The 14,877-nt window shown below is 49.1% G+C and overlaps 3 annotated features.

Moving 5' to 3' along the window:
• Positions 1,581-2,156: an enhancer, noted in NCBI's record as "NANOG-H3K4me1 hESC enhancer chr12:131825633-131826208 (GRCh37/hg19 assembly coordinates)". NCBI's record gives its function as "activates a minimal SCP1, AML or CMV promoter by ChIP-STARR-seq in primed H9 embryonic stem cells {active_cell/tissue: H9 hESC(primed)}" and the evidence as "EXISTENCE:reporter gene assay evidence [ECO:0000049][PMID:30033119]".
• Positions 2,157-2,730: an enhancer, noted in NCBI's record as "NANOG-H3K4me1 hESC enhancer chr12:131825059-131825632 (GRCh37/hg19 assembly coordinates)". NCBI's record gives its function as "activates a minimal SCP1, AML or CMV promoter by ChIP-STARR-seq in primed H9 embryonic stem cells {active_cell/tissue: H9 hESC(primed)}" and the evidence as "EXISTENCE:reporter gene assay evidence [ECO:0000049][PMID:30033119]".
• Positions 9,489-9,813: a silencer, noted in NCBI's record as "fragment chr12:131817976-131818300 (GRCh37/hg19 assembly coordinates)". NCBI's record gives its function as "represses an EF-1alpha promoter that drives an FKBP-Casp9 reporter gene in an ReSE screen in HepG2 liver carcinoma cells {active_cell/tissue: HepG2}" and the evidence as "EXISTENCE:reporter gene assay evidence [ECO:0000049][PMID:32094911]".

Below are 14,877 nucleotides of genomic sequence, written 5' to 3'. Positions count from 1 at the left end.
AGCCATACAACTAATACCCCTACTTACAGGGTTAGGAATGGCTACTGCTAAAGGAACCAGAATAGCCAGTTTATCTACTTCATTATCCGACTACCACACACTCTCAAAGGATTTCTCAGACAGTTTGCAAGAAATAACGACATCTATCCTTACTCTACAATCCCAAATAGACTCTTTGGCAGCAGTGACTCTCCAAAACTGCTGAGACCTAGACCTCCTCACTGCTGAGAAAGGAGGACTCTGCACCTTCTTAGGGGAAGAGTGTTGTTTTTACATTAACCAGTCAGGGATAGTACGAGATGCCACCCGGTGTTTACCGGAAAAGGCTTCTGAAATCAGACAATGCCTTTCAAACTCTTATACCACCCTCTGGAGTTGGGTGACATGGCTTCTCCCCTTTCTAGGTCCTGTGACAGCCATCTTGCTATTACTTGCCTTCAGGCCCTGTATTTTTAACCTCCTTGTCAAATTTGTTCCCTCTAGAATTGAGGCCATCAAGCTACAGATGGTCTTACAAATGAAACCCCAAATGAGCTCAACTAAGAACTTCTATTGAGGACACCTGGACCGACCGGCTGGCCTAAAGAGTTCCCCTCTGGAGGACACTACAACTGCAGGGCCCCTTCTTTGCCCCTATCCAGCAGGAAGTAGCTAGAGCTGTCATCGCCCAATTCCCAGCAGCAGTTGGGGTGTCCTGTTTAGAGGGGGGATTGAGAGGTGAAGCCAGCTGGGCTTCTGGGTCGGGTGGGGACTTGGAGAACTTTTCTGTCTAGCTAAAGTATTGTAAACACACCAATCAGAACTCTGTGTTTAGCTAAAGGTTTGTAAATGCACCAATCCGCACTCTGTAAAAACGGACCAGTCAGCACTCTGTAAAATGGATCAATCAGCACTCTGTAAAATGGACCAATCAGCAGGACGTGGGTGGGACCAAATAAGGGAATAAAAGCTGGCCACCCGAGCCTGCAGTGGCAACCCGCTTGGGTCCCCTTCCACGCTGTGGAAGCTTTGTTCTTTCACTCTTCACAATAAATCTTGCTGCTGTTCACTCTTTGGGTCTGTACTACCTTTATGAGCTGTAATACTCACTGAGAAGGTCTGTGGCTTCACTCCTGAAGTCAAGCAAGACCACAAACCCACTGGAAGGAAGAAACTCCGGACACATCTGAACATCTAAAGGAACAAACTCTGGACACACCATCTTTAAGAACTGTAACACTCACCGTGAGGATCCGTGGCTTCATTCTTGAAGTCAGCGAGACCAAGAACCTACTGGAAGGAACCAATTCCGGACACACAGCCAAGTGCCCACCCCGGAACCCATCACCCAGTCCATGGGAATGGAATGTTCTCCTCTCACAGGTCTGGGTCACAGGAGCACACCTGACCTGGGGGTGGAGTCAGCCCCACCCAGACCAGACCATGTGGACAGAGTGAGGGAGCAGGGGACTCCCAGATAAGCCAGGGGTGTGGCCTGCAGCAGAGACATCCCCTCAGCTGTCCCCTCCAGGACTCCCAGGCTGCTGTCACCCAGGGCTCATAAAAGCCTCTGGCAGACGGGAGGCCCCGCCCAGCACCCATGATGCCCACTGAGCTTCTCCTGGCAGCCGGCCAGGTTCCACAGGGAGGGTAGTGCCAGGAAACCCAGTGCACAGAGGGGCTTACAGATGCCCATGGGAAGACAGCTGGGTGTGCCTTGCTCCCACAGGATGTGGATGTGTCCCCTGTGTCCCAGGCTGTGGGCCCATTTGTGTCACTCATCACCCTGGCCTCATTTTCTGAGTGACTGTGCTTCTCCCTAGGAGCCCCGAGAAGAGACAGCCAGCGGGTGCTGCTAATTAATGAGGCTCAGCTGGAATCAGCTGTTTCAAACTTAAAAGGCTGTTAATGGGATTTCTAATTCCAGGGGTGGAAAGAGTTAAATTGTATTGCCAAAGACTCTTGCAATCCAAGATGTTTTCTGATTCTGGTTTTGTTCTGGTAATTAATTGGATAGAAGTTGTCCAACTTTGTGGAGACACCAGAGCTATTGCTGGTTTCACTGAGTCTCTGGAAGATTAAGTTACTTTGTCTCTCCCGGGAACTCCCAGAACCGGCCACATTGGTGCCATTTCAAAGACAAAGGGCTGAGCAGCTTTCACAGCGTGTGTCCATTGTTTTCTAACTCCAGAACCGTGGAAAAGCAGCAGGCTGTGTCTGCTCAGAGCAGGGCCCTGGGCTCGCCCGGCCCAGACCCCAGGACCCCAGGACCCAGGAGCCCCGCTGAGGTGCTGGCTGGGGCCTCGGGCAGGTCCAAGCCTTGGTTTTCTCATCTGGAGAAAGGGGCTGAGGACAGCACCTGCTGTCTAGGGTCTCTGTCGGCTGTAGGAGAGAGTGCAGCAGGCATTTGGCCCCAGGCCTGGCACATCCTGAGCCTCACAAATGTCCAAGAAATGACTCCGTGGGTGAATCACCACTCCTCTGTTACACAGCTTGCGATGTCTTCCCACTGTCCTGAAAGTCCCAAACCTTTAACATGCCGTGGAAAAGTCCCCAGAAGGCAGTCTAAGGACATGTTTCGGGGACTGAAAGTGGAAGAAGTTTTTAAAATAGGGAGAGAATTTGTGTTTGGGCTTTCTAAAGAGTGTGGTGCTCAGAGGAGATTCGAACTCCATTGGGCTCCCATACCTTCCTTGGGGAGGTAGAATCGTCTTTGGTTTCAGTAACACAGGGGGCCCCACAGCCTTGGCTGACTCAGCCCTGGCAGCTTGGGTCTGTCCAGTCCCGCAGGACCGGCCCCACCCCTCACATCTGCTGTCCTTCATCCTCCTGAGACCCTGGGTCTGAGCTAGGGTGGGCTCCCGCCCACCACAAGCTCCCCCACAATCAGCCGCCCCCCAACTTCACCCACAGCCCCCTTAACTGCTGCTCCTGTCTTGCGGGATCTGCCACCTGTGCTTGGAGGTGCCCCCACCACCTCCACGCTGGTGGGCTTTAAACCATTTCCACGAACTCTCCACCCCTTCACTCTTATCTCCTCACTTGTTCACATCAAGTATTTTCATTTAAAATGTAAAGACATGGTTGCAGAAATGTAATTCCCCATGTATTATGAACATTGATATTTTAGAAACTGCCTCATCCTTCCCAGTGTCTCTTTCCATACTGCAGCATGGGCATGTAGGATTAGATAAGTATACTTGCTATCTGTATACACATTTATTCTTTTTCCCTTTTCCAGTTCTAAGGCTCAGGTAAGTGCCACTAGTTCTGCTAACTGGGTGCTGGTCCCTGGGGGAAGAGGCTTACTTTCAAGTACTGTTACATCACTAACTATGGCATAACCTGCCCGTTGTATGCCATTCTCCACAAATGAGCTTCCATCCTATACAGGTTAAGGTCAGGATTAGCTAAAGGGACTTCTAGGAGATCCTCTTGGGTGGCATAAATCTGGACTATAATTTGTTGGCAGTCATGCTTGATTGGTTCCCCATCCTATGGGAGAAGAGTGGCAGGGTTGAGGGCCACACACATGTGTATTTGAAGCACTGGTCCCTCAAGGAGTAGCACCTGGTATCTAAGCAGGTGGTTATCTGATAGCCATAAACTTCCTTTGGCACCTAGTATGCCATTTACATCATGAGTAGTCCAGATAGTGAGATCCCTTCCTTGTATTATTTTGATAGCCTCTGATACTAAGATAGCCACCTTTGCAACCACCCATAAACAGTGAGGCCAGCCTTTTGCTACTACATCAGTTTCCTTACTTAGATATGCCACTGGTTGTGGGGTTGTCCCATAAGTCTGAGGAAGGACTCCAAGAGCTATTCCCACTCTCTCTCTGTGAAGTATAAAGAGAAGTTTTGTCCTATGGGAAGACTTTAGGCTGGAGCTTATACTAGGGCCTGCTTTAAGGTTTTGAAGGCTGTTTCTGCCTCTAGTTCCCATTCTACTAGATGAGTATTTGCCCTATGGGTCTCCTTGATTATAGAGTGGTCTGGCCATCTCACTGTATCCTGGGATCCACAGTTGGCAAAAGCTGGTGATTCCAAGGAAGCCCCACAACTGTTTTAATGTCTTAGGGTGAGGATAAGCCAGTATAGGCTGTATTCATTCCTTGCTGAGGGCCCTGGGTCCTCTGGCTAAGATTAGGCCTAAATATTTGACTTGTTGTAGGCAGAGCTGGGCCTTTGATTTAGACGCCTTGTAACCTTGATTAGCTAGAAATTTCAAGAGATCTAGAGTAGCCTGCTGGCATAAGGATTCTAAACTTGTAGCCAAAAGTAAATCATCCACATACTGAAGGACCAGAGTGCCTGGACTTGAGAAGTGGCCTAGATCTTGGGCCAGTGCCTGACCAAACAGATGAGGGCTATCCCTAAAACCTGGAGGCAAGACAGTCCATGTAAGTTGGGATGTGTGGTCTGTGGGATCCTCAAAGACAAAGAAAAACTGGGAGTCGGAGTGCAGGGGAATGCAGAAGACATCCTTGAGGTTCAGAACAGTGAACCATTCTACTTACTCTGGTATTTGAGAAAGCAGGGTATAGGGGTTAGGTACAACTGGATATAGAGGAATTACTGCTTCATTGATGAGTCTAAGATCTTGCACTAGTCTCCACGGACCATTTGGTTTTGTACTCCTAGAATTGGGGTGTTGCAGGGACTGCTGCATTTTCTTACTAAGCCTTGAGCTTTTAAATGTCTAACAATATCCTGTAATCCTTTATGAGCTTCGGGACTTACGGGATATTGCCTTTGATAAGGAAAAGTGGTGGGGTCTTTTAGCCTGATTTGGACTGGGCAGGCATGCATTTTTTGCTCTCCAAATTGTCCTTCAAATGTCCAGACTTTGGAGATGATTCCTTCCTCAAGTAGGGAACAACAAATGGGTAACTTTCCCCTATTCATGTAGATAATAGCTCCAGCTTTGGCTAATATGTCCCTCCCTAATAAGGGTGTGGTATTTTCAAGCATAACAAGAAAGACATGTGAAAAGAGCAAAGTCTCCCAACTACAACTGAGGAGGTGGGAGAAATACCTGGTTACAGGCTGTCTCAGGATTCCTCGGATGGTAACAGACCTTGGAGATGGCCATCAGGGGCAGGAGATTAACACTGAGAAAGCTGCACCAGTGTCCAGGAGGAAGTCAATTTCCTGGCCCTCAATGGTTAAACTTACCCGGGGCTCAATGAGGGTGATGACATGAGCTGGCACTTGCCCCACATACCCTCAGTCCTGTTGTTGGATCATCTGGTTGGGGGCCCAGAGAATCTTTGTCCCCTGGGGCAGTGCACCTTCCAGTGATTGCCTCGGCATTGTGGACATGGGTGAGAGGGTGGCTTGTTTCTTGTTGGGCAGTCTTTTTTAAAGTGTCCTTGCAAACCACACTGATAACAAGCCCTACTGGGTGATTGGCATGCTCCATTTTCTGTACTCTCTGAACCACCAAAGTTTGTTTGTCTGAGGGCCATGACTAAGGCTGCAGCCTTTCTCTGATCTCGCTTTTCTTTTTTGGCCTGTTCTTGGTCCCTATTATAGAACTCCGAGGTTGCCAGGTATAATAATGCCTCCAGATTTTGTTCAGGGCCCAGGGCTGCCTTTTGGAGCTTTCTCCTGATATCTGTGGCTGATTGGGTAATAAACTTATCTTTTAGGATCAATTGACCCTAGAGGGAGTCAGGTGACAGGGGGGTATATTTTCTTAAGGCCTTCTGTAACTGCTCAAGGAAGGCAGAAGGATTTTCTTCCTTTTCCTGAGTTATGGTGGACATCATTGAATAATTCATGAGCTTTTTCCTAATTCTCCTTAGTCCTTCTAGAACACAGGTCAACAGATGTTTGTGACTCCAGTCCCCATGATCTGAGTCTAGGTCCCAGTGGGGATCCATACTGGGGACAGCTTGCTGACCGGTAGGGAACTTGTCCCTTTCTTCGGCTGTCATTCTATCATTTACTTGACTAAGATACCAGGTATCTCCAAACTCTCGGGCTGCAGCTAAAGCCACATTCTTTTCATTAAAGGCCAGGGTTTGATCTAACAATAGCATGACATCTCTCCAAGTGAGGTTGAAGGTTTGCCCTAGACCCTGTAGGACATCTATATACCTATCAGGATCATCTGAAAACTTCCCCAGGTCTACCTTGATCTGCTTTAAATCAGAGAGGGAAAAGGGGACATGTACCCAGATTGGGCCAAATTCCCCTCCCCTTACAGCTTGAAGGGGACATAACCCATAGCCCGGGGGGCTTTATGGTCCCTTGGAGATTTGTTTGCTTGTTTCCTTCTGGGTGGGGGAGATTAGAGGAGGCTTATCATTAATAGGAAGGGGAGTTATAGGAAGGCTAGTATATGGAGGTCAGCTGAGAGGTCCTCCTGTGGGATGTAAATTGCAAGCTTTGCATAGTTGTGGATTATCCTTCAATAAAAAGAAAGCTTGGTCACAAGGTATTTAACTCCATTTGCCTTCCCTCTTACAGAAAAGTTTAAGCCACAGGATAGTATTGTAATTTATACTTTCCTCAGGTGGTCATTTTTCCCCATCAGAGAGAGAACACTGGGGTCAAGCCATAGTCCAGAAAAAAATAAGCCACTTCTTTTTCAGGGTTTGTGGGTCAAATTGGTCCCAATGGCTTAGGATGCATTTCAAAGGTGAGCCTGTTGATGCCTGAGTGTTTCCCATCTGAAAGAAAAAACTGCCCATGGTTTTGCTTTGTTTGTCCCACCCTCTCCCCCAAGAACCCACAACGGTCCCTGGACCCTGCTGATCGGAATAGTTGCACTCACTGAAGCAGCAGCGGAAACACTAGTTTTCCTCCTAGACCACAGAGAGGACCGAGGAAGGTTGGATTTAGTGGCCCTTACTGACACGTTCTCAAAAACCTGCACCTTTGCCTTTCCTCTTAGACCACAAAGAGGACTGAAAAAAACTGGATTTAGTGGCCCTTACCGACACATTCTCAAAAACTTGTTAGAGTCCTAAGAGTTTTCTTCTGTTAGTATTGGGACCTTACCCTTGTCCTATGAAGATGATATGCCCCAAAAGGGAGTGGAGGGCCATACCCTGAGGGAGGGAAGGGATCTCCAAGGTTGGAAGAGTGATGCATTTTGTCTTCACAATCATCTGAAGAGGAAGGATATCCTCCTAATTTTGGAGTCTATAATTTCTGAGGCTCCCCATCGGGAACAGCCTTTGCTAGGCCTGCTAGTCTGAGGAGGGATCCTAAAATTCCAGATAGCCCCCCCCACCCAACCCACTGGGCTTGGGGCAAAATTATGTCTTTCTCATTGGTGAGCCCAGGTCCCTAAAGAAAGGAACAGAGTCCCTAAACTTATATTAGAAATCATCCTTATAGGAGAAACTAGAAAAGCACCAGGGGGTGGTTTTGAAAGCAGGACTAGCCTTGGAGAAGAGAGGTAAGAGGAAGTTTGTCTGACAGGCATTAGGACCCAGGAGGCAAGGGTCAGGATAGATAGGATAGATGGGCAAGTCTCGTTTGGGTGATGTAACTTTGAGAGTTCTGCTCATGGCTGCAGGGTCAACCACCTTTTTGTCAGGACCCTGGAGCTGAATGGCTTTCCTCTCTGTCAACCTGCGGCTCAGCCAGGAAATGCAGGAAAAGTGGAAGCTGGTTCCAGGCAAACCAACCCTCCCAACTCCAAAGAGTTGGGGGTTGTTACAGAGGCCTTTCCCAGAAAGCCTGACACCTGTGTCTTTAGTCCCGTAGCCATGCTAGTTGCTTTTAACTGGCCAACAGGTGCCTGGTGTTTAGCCCCCGAATTCTAAGGAAAAATAGGTCAGAATAGCAAGTGAAAGGGGTCCAATAGTACTCACTACATGGCAATCTCCCAGGTGAGCCCCCACGATGTGTCTAGAATTGGTTCTTTCTGGTGGGTTCATGGTCTCGTTGACTTCAAGAATGGAGCTGCGGACCTTCGCAGTCAGTGATACAGCTCTTAAAGTTGGCATGAACCCAAAGAGTGAGCAGCAGCAAGATTTGTTGTGAAGAGTGAAAGAACAAAGCTTCCACAGCATGGAAGGGGACCCAAGTGGGTTGCGGCTGCTGGCTAGGGTCTCCAGGTTTTATTCCCTTATTTGTCTCTTCCCATGTTCCATTTCTGTCCTATCAGAGTGCCCTTTTTTCAATTCTCCTTGCAATTGATTATTTAGATTCCTGCTGATTGGTGCATTTTGCAGAGTGCTGATTGGTGTGTTTCACAGAGCACTGATTGGGGCATTTCGCAATCCCCTTGCTAGCTACAGAGTGCTGATTTGTGCATTTTACAATCCCAGCTACAGAGTGCTGATTGGTGTGTTTTACAATCTTCTTGTAAGACAGAAAAGTTCTCCAAGTCCCCACTCGACCCAGGAAGTGCAGATGTCTTCACCTCTCAGTAACGCCAAGACCCAGACACCCCCTTCTCACCATCCACATTTAAAAGCACAGTGGGAAAACCACAGCATCCTTTCTACTCCAATTCACAATTCACTGCATCCCGTTTCTCCATGGAGCACTTGATGCGTGAAGTATTTACTGATTGACAGATTATATTCCCCACAACAAAAATATGTTCAAAATTTAAATACAATGTAATTCTTGTGTCTATAGAGTTCCAAGTGTTAAAATACTTTTCTGGATCCAGTTATGGTCCCATTTTTAGTAACAGATAATTCTTCCAAACAACATGAAGAGATCAAATATTTATATTATGTCATGTGTATATTTCTGTTGCATATATATGCTTACATCTGTATAAATATATGGCATAAGTGTATTTACATAGTGTATGTGTAAATATTGACATATGGGATATGTAATATGGTGTATTATTTATGTAATTAATATTTCAAAAATTTTTAGAGGTTTTTCTAAAGGAAAGTGCACCTTGTAGAAATGGATTTGAAAATTTCATAAGTCTCATTTGGAGGGTGCCCTGGGGTCTCTGTGCATCCTCCCAGGACATGCCTCTGGAGGATGCGGGATGGCGGATTGTCCTTCCTGGGAAAAGCAAGAGCTGGGAAGTCATAATGGGGAAGGGGAGGCCAGGGAGCTGACCGCAGGCTCCTTCCAAGCAGGTATTTTTAGGACTTTAGGCGGCTGTGATGATGCCCTGGGTGGTCCCTGAGAGGGCACCCGCATTGGGGTCCTGCAGACTCAGGGATCCTGCCTGGGCCCTGCCTGGGATTTTCCTGCATCCATGGTCACCTTGGGCTCCTTCCTCGACTGTGCCCTGCGCTCGACCCACACCCAGCCTGGCCCTAAACACCATTGGGCTTTTGTTCAGGGGCCCTGCACACCAGGCCTCAGGATTCCATCCTCCCAGAATCATGGCCACAGAATAAGGTCCGCAGAGACAGGTACTGAACGCATCTCAAACACCCGTGGGGCGGAGGTGTGAGGAGCTGGCCTCTCTCCACCCTCAGCCACCCTCCAGGGGCCCAGCCCTGCCCTCCCACTTGGCCTCCCTCTACCCTGGATGGGCTCCACCCCTCCTCACTCTGCACCTGTGGGTCCTCGGCCCCTGGACCCTCCCCTTCCTGTGCCCTCCCAACTCCACATCAGCGGTGGGGAGCTGGGGTCTGCAGGACCACTCCACCCCCAACCTCATGCTGTGAGGGGCCGAGGGGTAGCTGGGTGCCTTGTGGCTGTGCCCCATATGTGGTCAGAGACCCCACATCATCCCTCACTGGGCACATGGGCTCTGTGGGGCATCTGAGTCCACTGAACTTGAACACCAGTTCCCAGGACTTAAAACTCAAGGACATCGGTGTCCCGTGTGATGCTGCCTGAGTGTCGGGAAGATGAATGGTGCCTGGGGCATCACTGAAACAGCTCCCCTGAAGGCCAGACTCAACAACACCTCCTAGGATGACCTGCTGATCCTGGGACCTTGCTCCCCGGGAAGCCCCCAATGTGGCCCCTGCCCCTCTGCTGACACCCCTTGATCTCCACCCTGGCCTTGGCCGTGGCCCTGCCTTGTCGACAGCTCCTGGGTCATCTCAGAGGACCTCAGCCTCTTCGAGTCCCAGCTGCACTGGTAGCCCTCCCAGAATGCTTTACTTTTCCAGTATCCTGCCTGCAGCCTCCCGACGCTGACACTAGAAACCTGGGACGTGCTGGACGCCCGTCTCCTCTCCCCATCCAACAGTCACCGAGCCGCAGATCCTGTGTCCTGAAGGCACCTGACACCATCCTCGTTCCCCCATCTTCACAGCTCCACCTCCTTCCTTATTCCCCCGTCTTCACAGCTCCACCTCCTTCCTGCAAGGCTTCCAGACCCACCCTCCCTCTGCCCCCTTCTCTAGCGCTCAGTCAGGGGCCTGTGCCGACCCATTCTGTGCGGCCACCTCTGTGTGCGGCCCTCACACGGCTTCTCCCCGCATTTAGAGACCCCATGAGCTCTATCATAAACCCCAGGGCCCTGCCACACCCCGACTCATGGGGCCTCCCTGCTCACCTCCTCTCTGTTCTCCCCACGCCACGCTCCTGCCAGGCCCAGGGACTGGGCATCTGCAGCTCCCTGGATTCAGAAGCTTCCTGAGCCGGCTCCTCCCCTCTCCCCAGGTTTCTCCACACATCACTTCCTCAGAGGAGCCTCCTGAGGTCAGCCCAGGATGGGTGTCCTGTACCGACCAAGGAACTTATCGGAATGGGGGCCTTGAAGTTAATTCTTATATCATATGGAAAGAGCCACAAACACACGAGGATGTCCTGACATGTGTGTTTGTGGCTGCACTGTGTATGGTGGCTGAGAACTGGGAATAGTGACCCAGATGTCACCCATGGGAGGGCAGCCGAGACGCGGTGGTCCATGGGCACTGTGGGATTTCTGCAGCTGCCGCGCAGGGTGAGTAGAATTCCCGGCCCTGGGAGCCTGTGCCGGACACACAAGGGGTGCAATGAGAAGTGAAAATGTCAACTACAGTCCAGATGCTCCTCGACTTACATTGGGGCAGGGCTGCAATGAGAAGTGAAAACGTAAACTGCAATCCAGATGCTCCTTGACTTACATCGGGGCAGGGCTGCAATGAGAAGTGAAAATGTCAACTACAATCCAGATGCTCCTCGACTTACAGTGGGGCTGTGTCACGAGGACGCCTCCTAAATTGAAAATGTCCTAAGTCAAAATGCATCAATGCACCAAACCTATGGAACAGCATAGCTTTGTCTGGCCTACTTTAAACATGCTCAGAACATGACGTTAGCCCACTGTTGGGCAAAATCATCTCACAGAAAGCGTATTTGATAATACAGTGTTGAGTATTTCCTGTGATTTATTCAACACTGCACTGAAAGTGAAAGAATGGCTATGCAGATAATCAAAGTACGGTTCCTACTGAAAGCAGATCATTTTCACACCATTGTTAAGTCAAAAAATCCTAAGTTGAACCATGGGAACATCTGTTTGTATTTATGGTAATGGTACAAATTAATTAAAAAGTAAGTGTATGGACAAATATTAATCATACAAAATAATATGGAAAAGTGAAATTACAAATGTGATCAGCCTATGGGAAATTTTAAAAATTTTAATGTGTGTTATTATTGCAATATGGTTTTCTCAGTGAGGATTTTTTTTTTAAGTAGAAGGACGAGTGTGTGGCTACTGTCTGTTTCCCTGACACAGCACTAAGTCTAGGAGGACAGGGATCTTGTTTTTCTTCCGAATGGCTCTATCCCAAGCTTTAGCAGACAGTCTAGCCCACAGCATGTGCTCAGTGAACTGGATGAACAAATGGATCCATGGGTGGATGGACTGAAGGATGGATAGATGGGTGGAGGGGTAGAAGGATGTATGGATGGGTGGATGGGTGAATGGTGGATATGTGGGTGGATGGGTGGAAGTATGGGTGGCTGGGGGGATGGGATGGATGGATAGATGAATGGGGGGATGAATGGTGGGTAGGTGGGTGGATGGGTGGCTGGCTGGCTGGATGGATGAATGTGTGGGTGGATGAAAGCATGGACAAATGGGTGGATGGATGGAAGGATGGATGAATGGATGAGTGGAAGGATGGATGAATGGTGGATGGGGGGTGGGTGGTGGGTGGGTGTATGGATGGATGAATGAATGAGTGGATATGTGGAAGGTTGGATGGATGGATGGATGGATGGGTGGGTGGATGGATGGATGCATGGATTAATGGGTGAATGGAAGGATGGGTGAATGGTGGATAGGTAGGTGGGTGGATGGATGGATGGATGCTGCTGGCCTGGTCAGGGGATCACTGACCCATGCTGGGAACCTACGTATTTCCTGTTCCTCCAGGTCGGCCCTGTGCTGACCTTTAGAGCGGAATAATCTTAACCTGCATGTGTGGAACTGGGATGGCTCCATGGTTGCCTGGGCTGAGGCTTCTTCCTATAAGGTTGGCAGGAGGATGGCAATTCTCCTTAGCTGCAGATCTACAGGCTGGAGCAACAACTATAAAATACATTTCCTTTTGAATAGACAAAGTGTCCTCCAACAGTTCAAAGGACACTCATTGACAAGCAGGTCTCCACAGTGTCCCTCGGCCTCCAGTTCCCTCCCCAGATGCAGCTGGTGTTATCATTTCTGTTCATCCCTCCAGCAAATACTGTGTCACCAACAAGGAAACACATGGCTATGTCTCTTCTTCTCATGCAAATGACAGGGTGGTTTGTGTGCGGCTCCACATCCCTTTCACACGGCGCTCATGGGAAAAGTCCCCATCAGTCAACAGTGATCTGCCACATTCTTTACCCACTGGATGGAGGATTCCAGGCCTGGAAGCTCCAGGCTCATTTAACCCACGCCTGCAGCGGGTCCCTCACAGGCTCCCCATCCTTTGCTAAGATGCTCATGTGGGTGCATTCATGGGAATCATTCCTGGAGGGCTGCTTGGTGGAAGAGGAAGTGCATTTTAAAGTTTGTCTTCTAATTTTCACACCCTTGTTGGTGTGCAGTTCTGCGGGTTTGGACCACTGCACAGACTCATGGAAGGGAGACGAATGGATAGTAAGCTGCGTATATGTTCAGATAAATGGATGGGCAGATGGGCAGATGGATGGATGGATGGATGGATGGATGGATGGATGGATGGATGGAAGAGAGAGAAAGATGCATAGTAACCTGGGTATATGTTCAGATAAGTGGAGGGACAGATGGATGGATGGATGGATGGATGGATGGATGGATGGATTAAAGAAGGCTGTATAGCAACCTGGGTATATGTTCAGATAAATGAATGGGGAGATGGATGGATGGATGAAAGAGAGAAGAATGGATAGTACCCTTGGCATATGTTCAGATAAGTGGATGAACAGATGGACAGATGGATGGATGGATGGATGGATGGATCGATGGATGCCTGGAAGAAAGAAGAATGGATAGTAAGCTGGGTATATGTTCAGATAAGTGGATGGACAGACAGATGAACAGCCCCATCACCCACACATCCCTCCACACTTCCTCTTGTACTCACCCCTCCCCTCCACCCTAACACCTGGAAACCGCAGGCCTCTTCTCTGACATCCAGAGCGTCCTATAAATGGGCTCATGCAGTGGGAGCCTTCTGGGTGGGCTCCCGGCCCTCAGCGCGGGTCATGGAGAGTCGCCCGGGCGGCTGTGCGCACCCACGGCCTGCCCTGCCCGTCTCCCTGCTGAGCGGCGTCCACTGCACCTATGCATGGCGACTCGTTCTGCGCTCACTGATGGGGGCGTTTGCGTTGTTTCTGGTTTCTGCAATTACAAATAAAGCCACTAGGAACTTTAACCTACATTTTTTTGTGTGGAGGTAGGCTTTCACTCCACGTGAGTGGGTCCCTGGGGTGGGGCTGCGGACTCACATGCTGAGTGTGTGGAGTGTTTGGCTGGAGCAGCAGCCACCCTGTTTCCATAATGAAGTGGCTGCACCGTCCACTGTGAGCGCAGCTTGCTCGGCAGCCTCAGCAGCACCTGCTATCATTTCCTTCTTTCTTTGCTTTCCTTTTTTTGTTAATTTTAGCATCCTAATAGGTGTGTGCTGTGACCTCATGATGACTCTAATTTGCATTTTCTTAATAATTCGTGACATTGTCCATTGTTTTATGGGCTTATTTGCCACTTGTATATTTTATTTGGGAAAACGTCTGTGTACATTTTTCCTCATTTAAAAAATATTGTATCCTTTGCTTTGTTACGGTTGAGCTTTCAGAGTTATTTACATATTCCAGATACAGGACTTTGGTCAGATATATGAATTGCAAATATTCCTTGCCAGCCGGTGGCTGGTCTGATCATTATCTAAACTCTGTCTTCTGCAGAGCAAAAGGGTTTAATTTTGATGAAGTCAAGTTTATAGATTTTTTTTTTTTAAGAATTGTGCTTTTGTCATTGCCTAACTCAAAGTCACAAAGCTTCCTCCAATGTTGCTTCTAAAATGTTTGTAATTTTACGTTTTACACGTAGGTCCCCCATACATGCTGAGGTAGTTTTTGCGTGAGGTGGGAGGTGTAGGTGGAGCTCACTGTTTTGCTTGCGGACCTGCAATGGCTACAGCCTCATCTGTTGAAAACATGATCCCTTCCTGATGTGTTGTCTTTGTGGATAGATGCGTTGAAAATTTTAGTGAGTAATATAAAAGCCCTCTCCAGCCAACACACATTTATTCCTCCATGAATGAATGCACTGCGGGTGGATGGGGCTTTGTCTCCCTGGCGCTCAGTGCACGGGTGGGGATGGGTTCTGTCTGTGGGGGGAGGTGTGGGCCTCTGTGGGGGAGGCAGAAGGTGCCCAGGAAAGTGGTCACGAATCAGCCGCACATAGTTACCCCTAGCGTCTGTGCTGACTCCCACGCCCACCTGCATCTCTGGGGGTGGTCTCCAGGCATAGTTACCCCTGGGGTCTGTGCTGACTCCCACGTCCACCTGCATCTCTGGGGGGGGGGGGGCGGTC

The sequence above is a fragment of the Homo sapiens genome, chromosome 12, assembly GCF_000001405.40.
Source record: "Homo sapiens chromosome 12, GRCh38.p14 Primary Assembly".
Taxonomy (NCBI): Eukaryota; Metazoa; Chordata; class Mammalia; order Primates; family Hominidae; genus Homo; species Homo sapiens.
The sequence above is the reverse complement of the archived record's forward strand: the minus strand, read 5'-3'. Positions and strand labels throughout refer to the sequence as shown.